The sequence below is a fragment of the Homo sapiens genome, chromosome 15 (assembly GCF_000001405.40).
Source record: "Homo sapiens chromosome 15, GRCh38.p14 Primary Assembly".
Lineage (NCBI taxonomy): Eukaryota > Metazoa > Chordata > Mammalia > Primates > Hominidae > Homo > Homo sapiens.
In genome coordinates this window covers 20,959,544-20,982,287 of record NC_000015.10, presented here as the reverse complement: position 1 = coordinate 20,982,287, position 22,744 = coordinate 20,959,544, and the positions used below count along the sequence as shown (strand labels likewise).

Here is a 22,744-nt window from a genome sequence, read left to right as displayed (position 1 = left end):
CTGCATTTCCTTACCTGAGGGCTTTCTCTGATCACAGAAGCCGCTTTTGCTGTCCCTGCTGCAGGTTGGGCATGCTGAGGAATCAATGCCGCTAGGAGACAGTCCATAACTAATGACTATCAGAAACTGTTGTACGAATACCCTTTATCTCTCAGCATGTTTCTGAGATGAGTTATCTACACTGGATCTCAGAGTTATTCCAAGTTTAATCCACAGTTATCCATTCTGGTAACTGCTTCATAGTTCACTCTTTATAAGGGTCTTTGCCCCACTTCCCAGTTCTCCTACCAGAGATTATGATACCTACCAAATGAATCACCTGCAGGTGAATCTTAGTCTCTGGATCTGCTTTCAGGGTAGCACTGTAGTCAGATGAATGGGAATCCATTCTCTCAGAAATGCAAGAAGGGAATGTGGTTTGGGAAAGTTCATTAGATCAATTTTGGAGTTGAGTTTGAGGTGCCCCTGAAACATTCAAGTAAAACTATCATCCAGCAGTCAAATATTAATACCATGTAGCAGTTGTCATCTGGAACTCTGAGGATGCAATTTGTATTAACAATTTGATATACTCATTGGCAAATAAGTAATAACCAAAGCTTTGGAGAAGAAAATGACCTAGACAATAGTATAGCATTGAAAGATGTGAAGGCCTGGAACTCAGCCTCACAGAGCTTCAGAATTTAATGGCCAAATAAAGGAAAAGAAGCCCACAAATCAAATAGAGGAGTTGTAGCCAGAAATGTGGGAGTTTTCTGGGCAATCAGGAGGCAAAGTAGAATAGAGTTGACACTGAAGCCACAAAGGAAAAATGTGTTGGAACAGCAGTGCTGAATTCTGCTGAGAAGAGATACATCTTGAAAAAAAAATGTCCATAAGACTTAGACACATGAATGTTATTGGTGATTTCTGCAATGGCCATTGCAGGGTTATGATGGGGAAGGAACCATATTTAAATATATTGAATGTGAGGCAGGCATGAAGAAGAGATGAGGCTTTCTTGCTGTGTGTTAAGCATGCCAGCCATCCCCCTGCCTTGTGGCGCCTATACATACCATCTCCTCTGCCTGTAATGCTCTTTTGCTAGATATTTATATTTCTTGCCCCAACACTTCCTTCAAGTCTTTTCTCAAATATCACCTTCTCAGTGAGGCCTTCCCTGACTAGCTATTGAAAATTACACCCAGTGGGGATGGGGAGATATTGGTTAAAGGGTTCAAAGTCTCAGCTAAACAAGATCAATAAGATCTGGAGATGTACTGTATAGCATGGTGACTGTAATTAATAATAACATATTGTTCAGTTGTCTCTTTATATCTAGGGGAGACTAGTTCCAGCTCACCCTGGAGACAACAAAATCAGCAGATGCTCAACCGCCTCATATAAAATGGTGCAGTATTTGCATATAACTTACACACATCCTTCCATGTAGTTTAAATAATGTCTACATTTCTTATAGTAGCTAAGACAATGTAAATGCTACGTAAATAGTTGTTATACTATATATTTGAATTATTTTTTGTCATATTGTTATTTTTATTTTTTTCTAAATATTTTCCATCTGTGATTGATTGAATCTGCAGATGCAGAACCACAGATACTAAGGGCCAAAAGAATACTTGAAAATTGCTAAGAGAGTTGATCTTAAATGTTCTCACAACAATAAAATGGCAAGCATGTGAGGTGACAGATATGTTAATCAGTTTGATTTAATCATTTTGCAATGTACACATATATCAAAATATCACCTTGTATACCATAAATATATACAATGTTTTCAAATTAAACCTTAATTAAGCTGAGGGAAAAATGTACACCTGCCACCTGTCACCTCCAACACACACTTCCTATTGACCTGAACCTTCTAATTTTTCTCCATCTTTACTCATCGCCCCCCAAGCATGCCACATAGTTTATTTACCCCGTCTTCCCCCATTACAATATAACTTCCACAAGTCAGGAATTTTTATCCATTTTGTTCACTGCTGTATTCATGAGTATTTATAGTAGTGTCTGGAATGTTAACAATTATTATTGTTGAATTAACTAATCAATTATTAATATTTTAAAAATATAAATAAACATGTATATTACATTTTGCATTTAAATGCCATTAGAGCCCAACTATAAATATAAGTATAGATGGAAGGGGAAACCTTAAATGGTTTTATCCTTATATTCTTTTTGCCAATATGTTTTCCCACATTTCTCTACAATAAACTTCTACACCTTTATAATATTGAGAGTAAATACTTCTTAAGAAAAATTAACCTTAAGAGAGAGCTCAAAAAAATAAATAATTCACAAAAAACTGCTGTGAAGGCTATGCATGGAAAGGGCAGAAGGGAGATGGAGGGACTGCAGAGACCTGTGGGCTGAGTCTGAGCCTCAAGGCTTTTTCAGCATGAAACTCAGCAAAGACAGGTGTTAAAAAGGCCTGCCTCCCACCGCCCCTGCTGTTCACTAAGCTTAGGCAATCAAAGTGTACCAGTGTTTTTTCACTGCCCAGCATATACTGATTTAAGGACTCAACACTCTGACTTGAGAAAACCTAAAACATGAAGTTATCTCAAAGGTGGGTGAGATTCTAAGGAGGCTCAAATATATAGTCCTCAATTAATTCTCACCTCAACTTAGTTACAATCTGATACAACATATTAGGAGACAGGAACAGCACAGTGGTAAAAATCAAACCTCACCTCAAAAGATCGTAAATTATTGCTCTCAGATTAGTATTAACTGACACAATATGTGCAGTGAGTATCTTCTCTTCCTCCTCCCGAATTACAGAAGAGAACGTGAAAGACTAGGAGCCATACACATTACCCCAGGGAAAGCAGAGTGAAAGGGCAGTCTGGGTGTCCTTAACTGCACCACTCACAGAGGGGGCCTGTCCCACAACCAGCCAGGTTATTTCAACCTATTCTTACCTGACAAAAAGGATCTGGGGGCCTTGGCTCCACTGTAGGTGGGTAATTTTATTCCAACTGGTTTTGGGTGCTAGTTTTCTGCCTAGTGGTCAAATTCAGAAACCCAATCAGGACCTAGGTCTCCACCTGGAGCTCTTAGGTTAGCTAATCAATGTCTTCTTGGTCCTCAAGGAAGGGTTTATTGTTTTTGTTTGCTTGTTTGATTGGTTGTTTGCCATTGCATTAAAATTCTTTCTTACCCAGCAATTGATGAGTTCAAGGCTATCCTGTCACATTTCGTGATGTGGCCTGAGCCCTCCCAGAGTGTTACTGACTGGGACCAACTACTAACTAAAGTTTAGTGAAGAGAAGACAATGAGCTTGCTGGAACGTCACAGAGGCTTGGTTGCCATGGTAGTGATTGTCAGATGAGATCACAGAGAAGGGTGTAAGAGAAAAGAAAGAAAAACATGCAGGAAAAGCTGAAGCATAATATTATACTAAAATATATATATATTATATATATATATTTTATACATATTTATACTGTCTAAACTTACAGTGGAGTAATGTGTTGAAACTTGAGGGGAAAACTACTTTTTGAGAAAGACTGACTTTCCAGCATCTTCTTAGAGAGATGTGGTTTCATGGAAGAATGGTGTCTGAGCTACATTTTGTCTTATTCTAAAAGTAAAAGGAATGGGACTGATCTGGAAGCACATAGATTCCAGATCAATACTAATACCAGACTATTGTAATGCCAATTTATAAAAGGAAGCTAGGTATCCATTAAAATGACAGAAAATCAACAGGTATTTTTTGTAACAGATCATTGAGTTGGATGTGAAATGGTTTAAAGCTTTAACTATTCCAGGGGCTCCTGCAAAGTGTAAACTTAGTGTTTCCTTGAGTTAGCACTGAAAGGAGAGCAGGATTGAGGGACAAAAGAAGCAATCCAGTCATCTAGTAATATGACTCTGGATGATGTTTGCTCTAAATTGCTCCCAGCATCAGTATGTGGAAGGTGGACAGTGTGTGTGAACTTCAAAGCCCCCGCAGGGCTTCAGTTGGCTTGAATAAAATGTTACTGGTTATCCTGCCACCTTGTGGCTATGGGCCAACATGCCAGGGTGTGGAGGAGGAAGGGAGGAAATTAATGAATCACAGAGTTGCCTGACTGAAGAAGGAAAGCTCAGAAACACATCCTCTTCTCTCTTCCCTATAGATGTCAACTTGCCCATCACTTGATTAGCTAAAAGTGAATAGGGCTTAAAGTTCAGTCCTTGAGTGAGATTTTGCTTATATAGCCCTCCTAGGACTTTTGTCCTATCAGAGTAGCTTGTTGCACAGTGTGCTCCTTGTGATCAACGGTTAGTTAATCTTGTCTCTCCAAAATCTAAAGTTTAAATCCTTATTCATTAAATCAGACTGTTTATCAAGTATAGTGCTTTACTAACGAGATTATTTCAGAAATAAGCGAACAAAACAATAAGACGTATGCTGTTTGTTTTTTGAGACAGGGTCTTGCTCTGTTTTCCAGGCTAGAGTGCAGTGACACAATCACGGCTCACTGGAGCATTGACCTTGTGGCTCAAGCAATCCTCCTACCTCAGCTTCCCAAGTAGCTGGGACCAAAGGTGTATACCAACACGCCCAGCTAGGTGTTTTTATGTCTGTCTGTTTGTTTGTTTTATTTTGCAGAGATGGAGGTCTCCCCAGGTTGTCCAGGCTGGTCTCAAACTCCTGGGCTCAAGTGAACCTCCCGCCTTGGCTTCTCAAAGTGCTGAGATTATGGGCGTGAGCCACTACACCTGCCCAATATTGTTGATCAGAGTAAAGAAATGACATAAACACCCAGTAACAGTTAGAAGCCGTATTCAGATTAGCTATAATTTTCACTAGAACCATCCCAATCTCTTGAAAGATAAAACATCAAATTAAATGTAGCCAAATCTAATTGCTTCACCTCTGATTTTTTTTTAATCACTTGAAAAGGGTAATGGTTCCCTCACATTTTGTATATAAAATCTACTGGCTAGGGGAAGGCTCAGAAACTTGAATGTTAAATAGGATCCCAGGTGATTCTTACACACACTGAAGTATAAAGGTCACTGGACCATTCTAGTGGCCATGGGTCCCCTCTGGTTGGCCTGTAGTTGAAATCTATGGGAACAACTTTCAAACTACCACATCTGAGGAATCAGTGGAGGTTAGGAGGTTACTTTTAGAAGGTGATTGGGAATGTACTCGAATTTGAGATTTGTTAAAGTTCATTATAGTTATCACATATGAAAGAAGCAGCACACATGAGGAAAGGAGAGCTCTGGGGCTCCATGATAATTCAGCATGCCACAAGAGAACACTGAGACACAATTAAATGAAATCACAACAATGATAGATGAGCAAGATAAAAATATTGAAGTAAAGATATAGAAATTTTACAAGAAGAAACAATTAGAAATTCTGGAGCTAAGAATTCTATGACGGAAATAAAAAAAATCACTAGGGGGTGTTCACAAGTAGACTTGATCAAACAGAAGAAGGAATCAGCTAATCCAGACACCAGTCATTTCAAATTACATAGACAAAGGAGCAAAAGAAAAAAGAATAAAAAAGAGCCAATGAACCTACGGACTTAAGGTACATCATAAAGTGAAATAATATACTGATCACAAAAGTTCCAGATGGAGAAGAGAAAAATAAGAAGGAAAGTACAGTGCTGGCTAAAAGCTTGCCAAATCTGTAGAAGAAAAAGGACATACAGATACATGAGGCCAAATGCAACTGAAATAAAACAAATTCAAGGGAAGTCCACACAAAGACATATTATAATTATATGTCAAAAGTCAAAAAGAGTGAATTTTGAAGAAGCAAGACAATGCTGAAAGAGAGAAATTCTCAACCAAGAATGCAATTTCTGGAAAAAAAATTTCTTCAAAAATGAAGAATAGATAAAGACTTTCTCAAGCAAAAGCTGAGAGAAACAACTTCATCACCACTAGATTTGTCATAAAATAAATGACAGGTGAGCTCTTTAACTCAAACAAAATAATACTAAATAGCAAAACTAAGCATAACTAAGCATATTAAAATATAAAACTTACTGGAAAAGCTAATTATTTAAACAAATACAAAATTGTGCAACATTGTAATGGTGGTGCACCTTTTTCTAATATGAAAGTCAAAAGACAACAAAGTAGAAATTACTATAACTACAGAAGTATAATAGTAGATATACACATATAAAAGATGTAATTGTGACATCAATAACAAAGTGGGAGAAGTGCAGAATTTTTTATGTGATTAAAGTTGAGTTGTTATTAGCTTAGAATAAACTTTGCCTCCATATATATGATGTTTTACATAAGCCCCAAGGTAACCAAAAAAATAAAATACTACAGAAAATATACAAAAGAAAAAGGAAATAAATACATATCAATACAAAAATATCAATGAACACAAAAGAAAACAGCAAGAGAAAAAAGAAAGAAGAATTATAACACAGACAGAAAAAATAAAATGAAGTGCCATAGCAAGTCCTTACTTATTAATACAACTTTGTAAATACAGTTGTCCCACAGTATCCATGAAAGATGGGTTTCAAGATCGCCTGTGGATACCAAAATTTATGGATGCTAAAGTCCTTTATATTAAGTGATATAGTATTTGCATATAACCCATGCACACCATCCCCTATACTTTAAACCTTCTCTAGATTACTTATCATATCTAATAGAATGTAAACAGTATATAAATACCTGTTACACCATCTAGTTTGCATTACTTTTATTATTCCATTTTTTATCATTGTTATTTTTATGGGGGTGTGTGATTTTTTTTATGCATGGTTGGTTGACTCTGTGGATGTGGAACCTACATCCAGCTGACTGTAAATGGATTAAAAATTCCCCAGTCAAAAGACAAAGAACGTCCAAATGCATTAAAAAATAAAATCAAACTATAGGCTGTCAACAAGAGACTATAGATTCAAGGATGCCCAAAGGCTGAAAGTGAAGGGAGGGAAAAAAATATTCCATGCAAATCATAACGAAAAGACAGCAGGAGTGGCTAAATTTATACCAGGCCAAATAGACTTTAGGTTAAAAACAGTCACATGAAATAAAAAAGGTCATTATATAATGATAAAAAGGTCAATTATCAGGATGTTAGAACAACTATAAATGTATAGGCACCCAAGATCAGAGTACCTAACTATATATAAGGCAAACATTGACAGATTTGAAGGGAGAAATAGACAGCAATAAAATAACAATGAGACACAACATTACGCCACTTTCAATAATGGGAATGAATCTCTAGCAGAAAACCAGTAGGGAAATAGCAATCTTAAACATCCTATAAAACAAAAGGACCTCATAGACATGTACAGAACTATCCAGTGACAGCAGAATACACATTCTTCTCAAGTGACTATATAACATTTTTCAGGATAGGTCATCTGTTAGGCCACATAACAAGCACAAGTAAATTTAAGAATATAGAAATTATGTAAGTAGGAAAAGTATCTTTTCTATCTATAATGATATAAAACTAAAATCAATAACAAGCAAAACTAGAAAATTCACAAATATGTGGAAATCAATACACTCTTGAAAAACCATTATGTCAAAAAGATATCGAGGGAAATTAGAATGTATCTACCTATAAAAAAAGACCAAAAACGCAAAATAACAAAACTTATGGATGCAGCTAAAGTGGTATTGAGGCAGTATAGCAATAAACATCTACTCTAAACATAAGAAAAATGTCCAAAAACAAACCCACCTTACTTTAAACTTCAAGGAAGTAAAAAGGAACAAATTAAGCCCAAATTTACCAAAGGAATTAAATAACAGAGATTAGAACAGAAATTAAATAAATCAAATACAGAATAGGAAAACAATAGAAATAATCGATGAAATATAAAATAATGTTGGCAAATCTTAGCTAGACTAACCAAGAAAAAATAGAGAAGACTCAAATAAATAAAATCAGAAATGAAAGAAGAAACAATACAACTCATGCCATAAAAATACAAATGATCATAAGGGATTACTATAAACAATTATTTGACAATAAATTGGAAGGCCAAGAAGAAATGATAAATTTCTGGAAATATACACCCTACTATGACTGAATCATGAAGAAACCAAAAATTTAAACAGACCAATAGTGAATAAGAAGATTGCATCACCAATAAAAAACTGATTAAAAACCTCTCAGCAAAGAAGCTCAGGAAGAGATGGCTTTGTTAATAAATGCCACCAAACATTTTTTAAAAATACCAGTTCTTTATATACTCTTCCAAATTATTGAAGAAAAACCACATTTCCAAACTCATTAAATGAGGCTAGTATTTCTGTGATATCAAAGCCAAAGACTTTATAAGATAAGAAAATTACAGGTCAATATTCTTGATGAATAAAGATGCAAAAATTCTCAACAAACTTAAATACTCACAAACAGAATTCAACAGCACATTAAAAGTATCACACCTCATGATCAAGAGAGATTTATCCTTGAGATGCAGGGATGATTCAACATATGCAAATCAATAAATGTAGTACACCACATTAACAAAAATACTAAAAACATATAATCTCCATAGATTCAGAAAAAGCATTTGGGGCCGGGTGCAGTGGTTCACGCCTGTAATCTCAGCACTTTGGGAGGCCAAAGTGGGCAGATCACGATGTCAAGAGATCGAGACCATCCTGGCCAACATGGTGAAACGCCATGTCTAATAAAAATACAAAAATTGGCTGGGTGTGGTGGTGTGCACCTGTAACCCCAGCTACTCAGGAGGCTAAGGCAAGAGAATTGCTTGAACCTGGGAGGTGGAGGATGCAGTGAGCGGAGATTGCACCACTGCACTCCAGCCTCGTGACAGAGTGAGACTCCATCTCAAAAATAAATAAATAAGAAAAAGAAAAAGCATTTGGAAGTGGCTGGAGCAAAATGGTGGAATAGAAGGCTCCATCAATTGTCCTCCCACAGGAACACCAAATGTACCAACTGTCTACACAAACACAGCACCTTCATAAGAACCAAAAATAATATGAGCACTCACAATACCTGGTTTTATCTCCGTATCATTGAAAGAGGCACTAAAGAGAGTCAGAAAGAGAGCCGTGAATTGTTGATGCCAACTCTCCCTCATCCCCACTACAGCAGCCACATGGCACAGAGAAATGTGTGTTTGGGAGAGGGAAAGTGCAGCAATCGTGAGACTTTGCATTGAACTCAGTGCTGCCCTATCACAGTGGAAAGCAAAACTGTGCTGAACTCAGCTGACACAGACCCACAGAGGGAGCCTTTAGACAAGGTCCAGCCAGAGGGCAATTTGCCCACTCCAGCAGATGGAGCTTGAGTTCTGGCAAGCCTTGCCGCCATGAGCTGGCGTACTCTAGGGTCCTAAATAAATTTGACAGGCAGTCTAGGCCACAAGGACAGCAAGTCCTGGTGCTGAGCTGGGCTTGGAGCCAATGGACTTGGGAACACATGACTTACTGAAACAACAGCTGGGGCAGCTAAGAGAGTCCTTGCCCACACCTCCCCTAACCCCAGCAGCACAGCTCGTGGCTCCAAAAGAGATCCTTTACTTCTGCTTGAATAAAAGAAAGCGAAGAGTAAAGATGATCTTTGTCTTGCATCTTAGATCCCAGCTCATTACAGTAAGAAAGAATATTGGTCCGTCATGAGGCACCATTCCAGGCCCTAGCTCCGAGATGACATTTCTAGACACACCCTGGGCTAGAAGGGAACCTGCTGCCTTGAAGGAAAGAACCAGTCCTGGCAAGACCCATCACCTATTGACTAAAGAGCCCTTGGGCCCTGAATAATGAGAAGCAACACCCAAATAGTATGCCATATGCCTTGGGTGAGACTCAAGACATACTAGCTTCAGGTGAGACCTAGCACATTCCCAGCTGTGGTGACTACAGTGACAGACTCCTTCTGCTTGAGAGAAGCAAAGAGAAAGGTCAAGGGGACTTTGTCTTGTACCTTAAGTACCAGCACAGTCAAATGGGCATAGTGCATCAAGGGGGCTCTTGAGGTTCCCTATTCTAGCCCATGGCTCTTTTATGGCATTTCTGGAGCTTCTCTGGGCCAGAGGGGAGCCCATGTCCATGAAAGGTGATTCCCAGGCATAGCAGCATTCACCACAAGCTGACTGAAGAGCCTCTGGGCCTTAAGTACACACAGGTGGGAGTGTGGCAGTTACTCACCATAGGCCTGTGATGGTGGTGGCCACAGGGTCATTCTCCTCTGCCTGTGGAAGGAAGAGGGAAGAGTGGGAAGGGCTGTGTCTTGTGGCTTGAGGGCCAGCTCAGTTGCAGTATAATAGAACACCAGGTAGACGTCTAAGGTTTTTGACTCCAGTCCCTGGGTACCAGAAAACACCTCTAGACCTACCTGGGGCCTGGAGGACTCGCTGCATGGAAGGGAAGGACACAAACCTGGCCTCAGGTGATGTATCTAATGTAAACTACATAATCTATAAGAAATATGTAAATAATATTTTCCTATGATATATAACCTCAGTTCCTAACACAGATGTCCAGAGGCAAATCTTTCAAATTCACAAGCAAAAATTAGATAGAAGCAAGTTACATGTGAACAAATGGAATCAGATGCAATGAGAGAAAACAGCTAGCACATTATATACATAGCTGAAAGCTGGACAGAATAAAAACTTGAATTTTAGATTCAATGTATTTAGAAGCACAATAGAATTCAAATGGTACATTTAAACATGTGAGAGTGTTTTTCTACTCTAAAACTGGAGAGGAGAGGGGAGGAGGATTTAATGAGATAATGAACATTATGTAACTGTCACAATAAACATTTAATACATGACAGTGGTTGTTGTTATGCTTACTATCTTAGAAGTCAAATGTTCTTTAAAGAAAGTGTCCAAAAGTAGATTTATGCCATAAATGGTGCCAAGAATTAGGGCAAAGGGCAGGTCAAAGGTGAATAGGGGATATGATGTAGCAATTGTCAGCTTTGGTTAGTAACCTGGTTAATGTCCTCCTTTATTATAAATAGGGATCTAATTCAAAGGAAGGAACAGTATAATACATACACAATATACTTTTGCAACCATCTGAGCTGACAAAAAAAGCAGGGTCCCACAATAGCAGAGGCTTATGAGAAAAAGTCTGAACTGAATATATGAACACCTAAGTTTTAGGCCTCTTTCTTCTAACAGCCAACATAACTTTGGATCATTCTAACCTCTCTGGTCTCAGTTTCTGTGATACGAGGAAATTGAGCTTAATAAGACTAGAGGTCCTTTCTGACACTAACATTCTACACTGGTGTATTCCTCTCACATTTTTAAAGTTAAATTTATGGTTTATTTTTTAATATAAGATAATTCATCACCAGTATAGTAACAAGATGAGAAGGCATCTGAGCTAAGGAAATAGATGTTTTTCCATCTGCCTCTTGCTGTTTTTCTATCATAGAGCAAGATCTTCCTAGTAAAGGGTTGAAGGCAACTTTTCTGTGTCAAATTAGCTGTTGCTCAGCAAATAGAAGTTAAATGCCACTATACGGAGCAAACAAACACGTGCTAGCATGAAATCTGTGGCAGCATCCTCAGTACCCTACTTCAGTCAACAGAACTATCCAGGACAGATCTCCTAAAAACATAATTTATTGACAACATAATGAGGTTCTCTTTTTGTACTGACCTAATTCAATTTTAGATTATGTTTAAACTGATTTTTCTTAGAATTTTTCAAAATACAATACAAAATTTTCTAATAGGGAGAAATTATATGTATAAATATTTGAATATGTGTATTACAAAACATTACATCAAAGCAGAATTAATTTAAATGCAAATAGAGAAAGTCGTTTGGACCCTATGTTATGTGATGTCAATGAAACTTACACTCTGAAAAACAGAGATATGATATAGTGGAGGCTGTGGGATCACGTAGTAACATGTTGAGCCACATTCTCCCATAACCCTGATTTCATTGAACTAAGACAAAGATGGGAGGTGAGTTATTGAATTGAGAACTATATGGAACTTTTCACAAAAGTGCATTAAAAGATTGTCTTGGAGTCAAAAGAAATAAATATAACACTTTAAGAGAGAGAAAATGGCTATTGTAGTGGTCCCTATCGTTCATTTCCTTCATAGATTAGAAGAATGAGTGTCGTAGAAGCCAATAACATTTCTGGGCCTGTGAGTGAATTTATCCTCCTGGGCTTCCCCTGCCTGCTGCAGGGAGACCAAGATCCTCCTCTTTGTGGTCTTCTCCCTCATCTACCTTCTGACCCTCATGGGTAACACATCCATCATCTGCGCTGTGTGGTCAAGCCAGAAACTCCACACACCTATGTACATCCTCTTGGCTAATTTCTCTTTCCTGGAGATCTGCTGCATTAGTTCTGATGTCCCAAAATGTTGGCCAATCTCATCTCCCATATCAAGAGCATCTCCTATGCTGGCTGCCTGCTCCAGTTCTTCTACTTCTCCATGTGTGCTGCAGAAGGCTACTTTCTGTCTGTGATGTCCTTTGATCGGTTCCTTACCATCTGTCGACCTTTGCATTATCCCACAGTCATGACTCACCACCTGTGTGTCTGATTAGTGGCCTTCTGCAGGGCAGGTGGTTTTCTATCCATACTGATGCCTGCAGTGCTTATGTCCCGAGTGCCTTTCTGTGGCCCTAACATCACTGACCATTTTTTCTGTAACCTGGGACCATTGCTGGCACTGTCCTGTGCCCCAGTTCCCAAAACTACTCTGACTTGTGCTACAGTAAGCTCTCTCATCATCTTCATCACCTTCCTCTACATTCTTGGGTCCCATATCTTAGTTTTGCGAGCTGTTCTGTGGGTCCCAGCTGGCTCAGGCAGGAACAAAGCTTTCTCTACATGTGCTTCCCATTTCTTGGTTGTTTCTTTCTTCTATGGCTCAGTCATGGTGATGTATGTGAGTCCAGGCTCCAGGAGCCGCCCTGGGACACAGAAATTTGTGACATTGTTTTACTGCACAGCAACCCCATTCTTTAATCCCCTGACCTACAGTCTCTGGAACAAAGATATGACAGATGCCCTTAAAAAAGTGCTGGGAGTGCCATCAAAAGAAATATCTTGGAACACACTGAAATGATATACATTCTTCTACAATTATTCCATAAGAAATGCAAAATTTCTCTCATTTTAAAAAAAACTATTTTCTGGTGATGTCTGAGCACTTGGCTTCTTACTCATAAAAGCGTGACTCATTACACACAAAGAGCCCTGATCCTATCTCAAAGCAAAAAGTATACAAAGTCCTAAGTTTCATCGTAGGTAAGATCTGTACAATTTTTATTCATCTATGTATCATTTTTCCATTTTGGAGATTTTTTAAGTCCTAAAACTATATGTAATTCAGTTGGTATGTACAAAGCTAAGACCCATGTTTCTAATTTGTATTTTGGCTTTATCCTAATGCAACTTTATGCATCTTAAATGTGTTTTAAATTTATCAACTGTTTTTTCCTTGCCAACTATAGGTTTTTCTATAATGAAAAACAGCATCTACTCACTGTACTCACAAAAATTAAATTGCTTTATCTATAATATCAAAGAACGAGAATCCGTCACTGAAACAAGAATGTTTTTTAATTTGTATTTTCCTTATTACTAAGTCTTGGTAAGGTGTTCATGGTGCGCAGCAAATAAAAACTAGAAATGGTATAGATTCTTAAGGGAAATTCCTGTTCCAGCTCTGAAGAGAATGCATAGAAGGGCATGCATACATTCAAATATGCCAAATAATTAAATATTTCTTACTCAAACCTGGGCTTCTATACTTTCTGAGCTTATAGTGAAGAAACATCTACCGTTACAGAAAATAAACATAGGATACCAGGGAATCAACTCTATCAACCAAAATATAAGCTACCTTAAAGCAGTCACCACCTGGATTAAGAAAATGTGGTGCATATACACCATGGAATACTATGCAGCCATAAAAAATGTTTGAGTTCATGTCCTTTGTAGGGACATGGATGAAGCTGGAAACCATCATTCTCAGCAAACTATCTCAAGGACAAAAAAACAAACACCGCATGTTCTCACTCATAGGTGGGAATTGAACAATGAGAACACTTGGACACAGGAAGGGGAACATCACACACCGGGGCCTGTTGTGGGGTGGGGAGAGGAGGGAGGGATAGCTTTAGGATATATACCTAATGTAAATGACGAGTTAATGGGTGCAGCACACCAACATGGCACATGCATACATATGTAACAAACCTGCACATTGTGCACATGTACCCTAGAACTTAAAGTATAATAAAAAATACATATAAATAAAAATAAATAAAAAATTAAAAAAAGTCACCACTTAACATAAACTTCTTTACTTAACCTGATCACCTGCCAACACTCTGAAATTTTCATATTTTTAACTAAGGCACAAAAATTAGGGGGATAGGAAAGAGAGGTGTTTGTGATGTTGTCTCCAATATGTTGAAGAGAAAGTTAATGATTTGACTAAAAACATCCAGTCTACATTAGACTTCATATTCAAGTTTTTTCTGTGAACATATACCTCTTTTATTATTTGTTAAATTTTATTTCTAATGAACACATGATAATTATATATTTATGGGATACAATGTGATGTTTTGATAATCATTTACATTGTGAAATGATTAAATCAAGCTAATTAATAAATTCATCATCTCCTATACTTATTTTTTGTGGTTAAAACATTTGAAATCCACGCTTTTAGTAGTTTCTAAATATGTGGTGCATTATTATTTATTATAGTCACATTCTATGAAACAGATCACTAAATCTTATTCCTTCCATCAAACTGAATTGTTGTATCCTTTGATCAACATCTCTCCTCCCCTCAGCCACCTCTTCCCTCCAGCCTTAGTTAACCACCATTCTACTCTCTACTTTTAAGAGTTCAACTGAATGAAGTATCACCTCATATCTGTTAGAATGGCTATCACCAAAAAGATGAAAGATAAGTATTGCTGAGGGTGCAGAGAAAAGTAAACATTTGTGCACTGTTGGTGGAAATGTAAATTAATATAACCGTGGAAAACAGTATAGAAGTTCCACAAAACACTTAAAATAGAATTACCATATGATTAAGCAATTTCCCTTCTGGGCATATATCCAAAGAAATTGAAATCAATATGTCAAAGAGATATCTGTACTTCCAAATTCATTGCAGCATTATTCACAATAACCAAGACACGGAAGCAACCTAGGTATTTGTCATCAGATGAGTAGATACACAAAATGTGATATATACACACAGTGGAATACTATTTGGCCCTTAAAAAATAGAGAAATTCTTCCATTAGTGACGATGTGGATGAACCTGTAGAACATTATGCTAAGTGAAAAAAATCCAGACACACACAGACATCTTAAAATCCTCTTCCAAGTTATTTTGACTTTTGGAATATTTTCTTCAATAAAATACGTTAAGGGATAAAGCTTCATAGACCACTGTGGAGCTAAGGGAGAATTCAGAGCAACCTGCAATGCCAAAGCGTTAGTTCTTCTTGCCCTCTGCAGATTGTAGAGACTATACCCACCTGAGATAACTCTATTAGAGTATAATTCTGCCAGTGTTCTCACTTACATCCAATAAAAGCTGACTCTAGCTGATTATGTAAATGAAAAAGGACTTATTGATGGAGTAGCAGGAATCTCACAGAACCAATGAAAGCTAAAGAGCCAGAGTTGAGGCTCAAATTCAAAGATACATATGCAAACCACCATGCAGAACTGATGATGAAAAATCATGACTGCAGTCATGGCTGTGCTATAGGCCACCAAGATGCTACATGAGCACCACTGTCATTCTGTTCTAGGAACTTGTCTTTTCTGCAATAAGTGTGCTACCTTCTTGTCTTTTTTTTTTTTTTTTAATTGAGACGGAGTCTTGCTCCGTCTCAGGCTGGAGTGCAGCGGTGCGATCTCGGCTCACTGCAAGCTCCGCCTCCCAGTTCACACCTTTCTCCTGCCTCAGCCTCCTGAGTAGCTGGGACTACAGGTGCCAGCCACCACGCCCGGCTAATTTTTTTGTATTTTTACTAGAGACGGGGTTTCGCCGTGTTAGCCAGGATGGTCTTGGTCTCTTGACTTCGTGATCCGCCCACCTTGGCCTCCCAAAGTGCTGGGATTACAGGCGCGAGCCACTGCGCCCAGCCTGTTCATTGTCATTTCTTATGCCAATATTTCAACATTGTTGCTCTTCCTACTTCTGCTTCTTGATTCAAAGCCTGGTATAGCTGTATCTGGTAAAGGCAAGAGTACATTCCTACAACTTTAAGTGCAAGGGAAGCTAGGAGAGCTAATATCTGGCAATATAAACAACAATTACATAAATAGAAGCTCCAAGCCTGATAATATTGGGATTACCTCAAACATAAAAAGGGATGGAGATACTGGACAGCAAACACACACACACACACACACACACACACACACACACACACACACAGAGCGAGAGAGAGAGAGAAATAACTCAAACAACCCATTCATTTTGACTATTCCATATCTCTGAGCTATGTTTCCTCTAGAGATTACACAGGGTGGAAATCAAATTATCCACCTATGCAACAGCAGTGAAAGGGGAGCAGGATGAGTAAGGGGTAAAACACTGTCTCGGGTAGTTGAGGACTTGTCTATCTCATGATGAATGCTGTTAGAAGATACTGTGCTGCTTATAAGTTACTACTGCATTATCTGGAGTTCTGAGAGAAAAAGTTAAACTAAAGGTAAATAAATTATCATCTGGAAAATCTCTGTAAGCTGCAGTGAGATTTAGTGTTGTGCACTTGCCTTTCATCTTTCTTAGAACTAGTGAAGAATGGATATAGAGGATTCTTCACTTACTCTTTCTCTTTAAGCCAAAAATTCTTAGACTTGGGGGAGGGGGCCAACGAACCATAATTAACTGAATAACTAAAATCCTCACTTGTATCTAAGCTCTCATTGTGCTTGAAAAAGATGTTCATATATAAAATTGAAATATTTTAAAGTATGTTTTTAGTCTAAATGTGTACATAAAAACATAAAAGTTTTACTAACTGGGGCTTGCTTAGCTACACTGAAATGAATTGTATTCCATTTTGTCTACTTTTTAATTATACAAATAAATCATATATTTTATAGTGAATAGTCGTTGTAAAGAAAAAAACTATAAAATAGTGAAAATTTTCACATCTCCACACCTCTACACACACACATGCCTCCTCAGCAACGTGTTTAGTTTGGTGGATGTATTTCTAAGTCCTCTTTCTGTACATATAGAAGCAAAATCTCTGGGTTTTGAGTGGGTATATAAATTGGATTATACCTAAGTATTGTTCTACAACTGATTGACCCTCCCAACCACTCTGTACTCTCACCTAAACAGCAATGTCTGAAAGGGAAATTTTAGCCAGCTCTGCAGGTACTTCTGTCAGTTTGGGACAAATCAGGACAAACAGACTGAAGATACAATTCTTCAGGAAAGACTTTCCCAGGAGATGGAGCATGGATGTGTAAGGTCACTAGTTCCAACATGTAGCACACTCAGTGGGTTCTTTCCCCTGCCAAAATCAGGATTTCAATTAGGAAAATACGTGAAATAAGAGCATGCTTGTTCTCTCCAGGCAAAGAAACTTCATTCTGAAAAATAAAGTCAATTTAGTATTTGTTTAACCTCAATATTATTTGAGGTCTGTATTTAGTCCTTAGACCTCTCTTTAACCTGTACTGTCCAATACAATAGCCACGACCCACATGTGGTTACTGAGCACCTGCAAAGTGACTAGTCCTAATTAAGATGTGCTCCAAGTATAAAATCAAATACCAGTTTTGAACACTTGGTGGGATGAAAGAATGTAAACATCTCATTAATAGTGTTTATACTAATTCCATGTTGAAATACTATTTTGGGTGAGTTGGGTTAAATAAAAATATTATTAAAAATTTCACGGCTGCTCTTCAGCAAGGTGGAGTGGGCGCGCCACATGCCCTTCTTCCCCAAGCTGCCGGTGGCCGACCAGGTGGCTTCGCTCTGAACGCGGGTTAGGTGGCATTGTCCCTGCACACTGCTGCCATTTTTCAATGGTGCATCTTCAGGCACATTTTTAAACCAAACTTCTTGCCTTTCTTAATAGCCACCATTTGGATTTGGATCTCTAAGTGTACTTGTTAGAGCATTTCCACACTCATTTTGATGATTGCCTTGCTTTCCTGCTCACCGTAAACTTGAAATAGGAAGGACAGAACTCCCTCACTTCCTATAGGTCTCCTCAAAATTTAGCTTAAATGAAGCCTTCCCAGACTATTCTATTTAAAAGAGCATCCCCACTCTCACTAGTATCTATTCCCATCATCTGCTTTGCCCTTCTTCAAAGAATGTATCACCACAGGAAATATTGTATCCTACATATTTATTTCTCTATTTCTTGATCCCTGTCTTCCCATACTGTAATATAAACTGCATGGGAATAGGTATCACTGCTATAGCTTCAGTGCTCAGATAATGCCTAATACATAATAGGAGCTCAATAAATGTTTGTCGAATAACCTTGTTAACTCAATAATTGAGCTATTACTATTGCAGAAGCCATTCAGGAGCAGTAAAAAGATCATATTTCCTGCCCTAAAGAAACTTATATTCTAACTGGTAGGAAAGTAAAAAATAGCACAAACAATGCTGTAATAGATACCCAAAAGGCAGACCAATTTTGAGTAAATATTTGGCAAAACTCAAAAGGCAATGAACTTAGAAAATAACATTATGATATACTGCAGTGGGCAAGGAAAGTTTCGTATGAGGCATCTAAACATGGGCAAGGTATGAATAGAACAATTTTAAGCTCAGGTTGTAAAACTAAGATTATACTCTGTGAATTAGAGAGAGTGAGTCAAATGGGAGTGATGAGACATATATTAAGGTAAAAATAAAGTTTAAGAAGAAATTCAGAACCTAAAAACATTTACAAGCTAAAGAATTTGGGATTTTTTCCTGTGTTTAGGTAGAGAGAAAATAAGTGATGGAGGTTCAAGAACATAATTCTGGAATTTGACATGGGAGATAACAGAGACAGACCATTTATGAAGTGATTATGCCATCACAGATATGGAGTGCTAGGAACCTGCACAGAAAAGACGAGCGTAAAGATGACAAATGATCCCAGGGAAGATGCCTAATCTGTTTAATGACAGATTAGAAGTGGGAATGAGATGGTAAGGAATTCTACTGTCAAGATTTCAAGTTCATGCTATAAATCAACAGATCCATGAGAAAATAAGGATGGCTAGAGCTAATTTAAAAGGAGATTAACAAATTTAGGATTAGACATTTGAATTTGAAATAGATCGTCATGTAAAAATATCCAGCAGAATGCTGCAAATATTTAACTACACTTTGGTAGTAAAGTCAGTGCTGGAGTTACCCCAGAATCAAGATTTAGCACAAGATTTCCTCATGGAGTGCAGTACTGCAAATTAATAAATTGCTACTCAAAAAAATAAATTAGAGGGTAGAACTTACCCGAGGAACACTTTTCCAGAGTTTAATGAAGAACTACACACACAAAAAAGTGCTTAGTAGGCCTAGATTGTCAGCGATCTCACAGATTCTATGGCTCTTTGGTTTGCACTGGGCATCACCTGACCTTCTTGTGTCTACATATGCCAAAGTGTTAGCATTGGCAAAATGTGAGGTGTCAATCAAGTCAACATAATATTATTGAAGGCCCTTGTTAGCCCCAGAAGTTATACTTCAAATTATAAAGAATAAAAAGGCAGAGCTTAAAATTGTCCCTGAATTGTTGAGAGTTTTGGGGGTGTGTATGTGTGTGTGTGTTTTAATCTGGTAATTTGAAGGATCAGTGGAAAACTATTTGTATAGTTGCAATACATTCAACCATTGCTATGCTCTCAAAAAAAATGAAACAACTTGCTTCAATGAAGGCAGAATCTGAGGATGTTGAAACATACCAAACAGTATGTACTGAAAACCAAAAGAGTAAGCAGAAGCTCAGTTTTAGAGAAATAGATGAAAATATTAAGTAGAATTGCAAAAATAAAAAAATCTATTTAAGGTACAAACATATCTGGACCATAATAGTAATAACTTCCTAAGACTGAAACCATGGGTCCAATTAATTCTTTCAAATTATCTTCCCAATATATAAAAGTAGAATAAAATGGAAAAAAGCATGATCTCATTGGTCTCATCATCTTTCATCCTTCTAAACATTAATGATGAATTATATTAAATTTGCCTCTTGGATCCTTTAGAAATTTCCTACTATAACACATACATAAATTTTTTTGGCTATCCCTCCCCCCCCAAACCCACAACAGGCCCGAGTGTGTGAAGTCCCCCTTCCTGTGTCCAAGTGTTCTCATTATTCAATTCCCACCTATGAGTGAGAACATGCGATGTTTGGTTTTTGTCCTTGCGATAGTTTGCTGAGAATGATGGTTTCCAGCTTCATCCATGTCCCTACAAAGGATACGAACTCATCATTTTTTATGGCTGCATACTATTCCATGGTGTATATGTGCCACATTTTCTTAATCTAGTCTATCGTTGTTGGACATTTGGGTTGGTTCCAAGTCTTTGCTATTGTGAATAGTGCTGCGATAAACATATGTGTGCATGTGTCTTTATAGCAGCATGATTTATAGTCCTTTGGGTATATACCCAGTAATGGGATGGCTGGGTCAAATGGTATTTCTAGTTCTAGATCCCTGAGGAATCACCACACTGGTTCAATCGACAGTGTGGCGATTCCTCAGAAATTTCTTTAGTGCCTCTTTCATATCCTTGTTCCGGAAACTGTAGATCAGAGGATTAAAGAATGGAGTTGACAAAGTATAGAACAAGGTCGCAAATTTCTTTATCCCATGATAGTCCCCAGAACCTGGGCTAACATACATCACCATAAGAGAACCATAGAAGAGAGACACTACAGCAAGGTGACAGCCACAAGTTGAGAAAGCCTTATGCCTTCCTAAGCCTGAAGGCACCTGTAGCACTGTGCTTAGAACACAGAAATAAGTCCCAAGGATATACAAGAAGGTAAGAAAGATGATGAGAGCGCTAATGATACCACAAGTCAGAGTAATTCCAGGTATTGGAGCACAAGACAGTGCCAGCAAAGGTGCCAGATCACAGAAAAAATGGTCGATAGTGTTTGGACCACAAAAGAGCACCTGAGATATTAGTGTCAAAGGGGTCAATAACCAGAGACAGCCACCCACCCAGCAGAAGATCACAAAAATGAGCACAAACGTGATGGGTCATTAAGGTGGGATAGTGCAAAGGTCTACAAATGGCAGGAAACCTATCAAAAGACATCACTGACAGAAATAAGCACTCTGCAGCACACATGGAGAAGAAGTAGAACCGGAGCAGGCAGCCAGCACAGGAGATGCTCTGTGTCTGGGAGATGAGATTGGCTGCCATTATGGGCACGTCAGAACTGACACAGCAGATCTCCAGGAAGGAGAAATTGGCCAGTAGGATGTACATAGGTGTGTGGAGTTTCTGGCTTGACCACACAGCACAGATGATGGATGTGTTACCTAGGAGGGTCAGAAGGTAGATGAGAGAGAAGACCACAAAAAGGAGGATCTGGATCTCCCAGCGGCAGGGGAAGCCCAAGAGGATGAACTCATTCACAAATCCAGTGATATTAGTAGTCTCCAAGGTCCTCACTGGTTTGGCCTGTAGAGGTGACAGAGATAGTAAGAACCACAGAAATTCTGCCCTGTCTCCCTTCTATCTCTTCTGGTGAATAGATATATGTTTATTTTCTTCAATTTGGATTTGGGATACTGCTCTCTTCCCCTTGGAAGGATGAGCTGTTCTTTCCTTTTCACCTCCGTCCTAGTTTATTCAATAAATAGTCATTTTGCAAATTATTGCTCTAGAAGATAAAGAACAATGAATAAAATAAAAAAGAGTCCCTGATCTTATAGAGCTTATGTCAAATACCTTTTGTTCAAAGCAACCTCAAGCAGTACGTTGATGGCTCCAAAAGTTCTACATAGGGCAGGCCTTGGAGCATACATGTACTGGAAGGGATCTGAGGAGATTTACCTTGGAACATCATTTGGATAGCGAAGATACTGTTTTTACTTAAATTGTATGCTTCTGATAACTTCAGGAGAAGCTGACACAAATTATGGGGTTGATGTGAGCGTCCCTCCACCTATATCAAAATGCTGCCATTGACACAGTAGCAGTAGAATGTGACAAAAACAAAACTTTCTGTGGTTGTCTGAGACACACATAATATTCATTTGGAAATAATAACAAAAGGCTTTTGAGAAGAAAATGAACGTTGACAAAATATAGAATTTTCCATAACGATGGCGGGAAAATGTTATTTGCATATAATAAAAATGTAGAAAGATTTGGATACAAAAAATTATACCCAGAGAAGAGTATAAAATAGTACAAGTGTACTTGCAAAAAGTTGTGAGACATAAGGTATAAATATACGGTAATCACATGGCAGAGGACTTGCTGCCAGCCAGTCTAACTAGTTCAAGCTTAATTTGCTAGTCAAGGAAAAACAAGATGTATTAAGTAGAAGAATGAAATAATTGAAGCTTTATGAAAACAGCATTTTTCAAGACCATTTGGTGCAGGTTAATAAAATTAGCAGAAAAATTTGGAAATTATTTCAATAGCCCAAGGAAAAAGTGTAAAAAGCTTGACCTGGGGCAATTACATACAAACAAATACCAGGGAAGGGACAGAGGTAATTAAATTCTGCCCAAGAGGCAGAGAACGAGGACAAGGAAAAAAAAAAAAAAAAAAAGCAAGG

General features: G+C 38.0%; 1 long non-coding RNA gene and 2 pseudogenes across 1 annotated transcript in view; 1 reads left to right on the top strand and 2 right to left on the bottom strand.

Annotated features, from left to right (window-relative positions):
- The window catches only part of LINC01193 (long intergenic non-protein coding RNA 1193), a 52,867-nt gene that overhangs the window by 11,017 nt on the left and 19,106 nt on the right, over positions 1-22,744 (bottom strand). The window contains exons 3-4 of the long non-coding RNA NR_040094.1: positions 10,139-10,182; positions 308-465 (exon numbers count right to left, since the gene is read on the bottom strand). This is a non-coding gene — a long non-coding RNA (long intergenic non-protein coding RNA 1193). The remainder of the gene's footprint in view (positions 1-307; positions 466-10,138; positions 10,183-22,744) is intronic.
- OR11J5P (olfactory receptor family 11 subfamily J member 5 pseudogene) lies at positions 12,079-13,038 on the top strand (annotated as a pseudogene).
- OR11J2P (olfactory receptor family 11 subfamily J member 2 pseudogene) lies at positions 20,681-21,626 on the bottom strand (annotated as a pseudogene).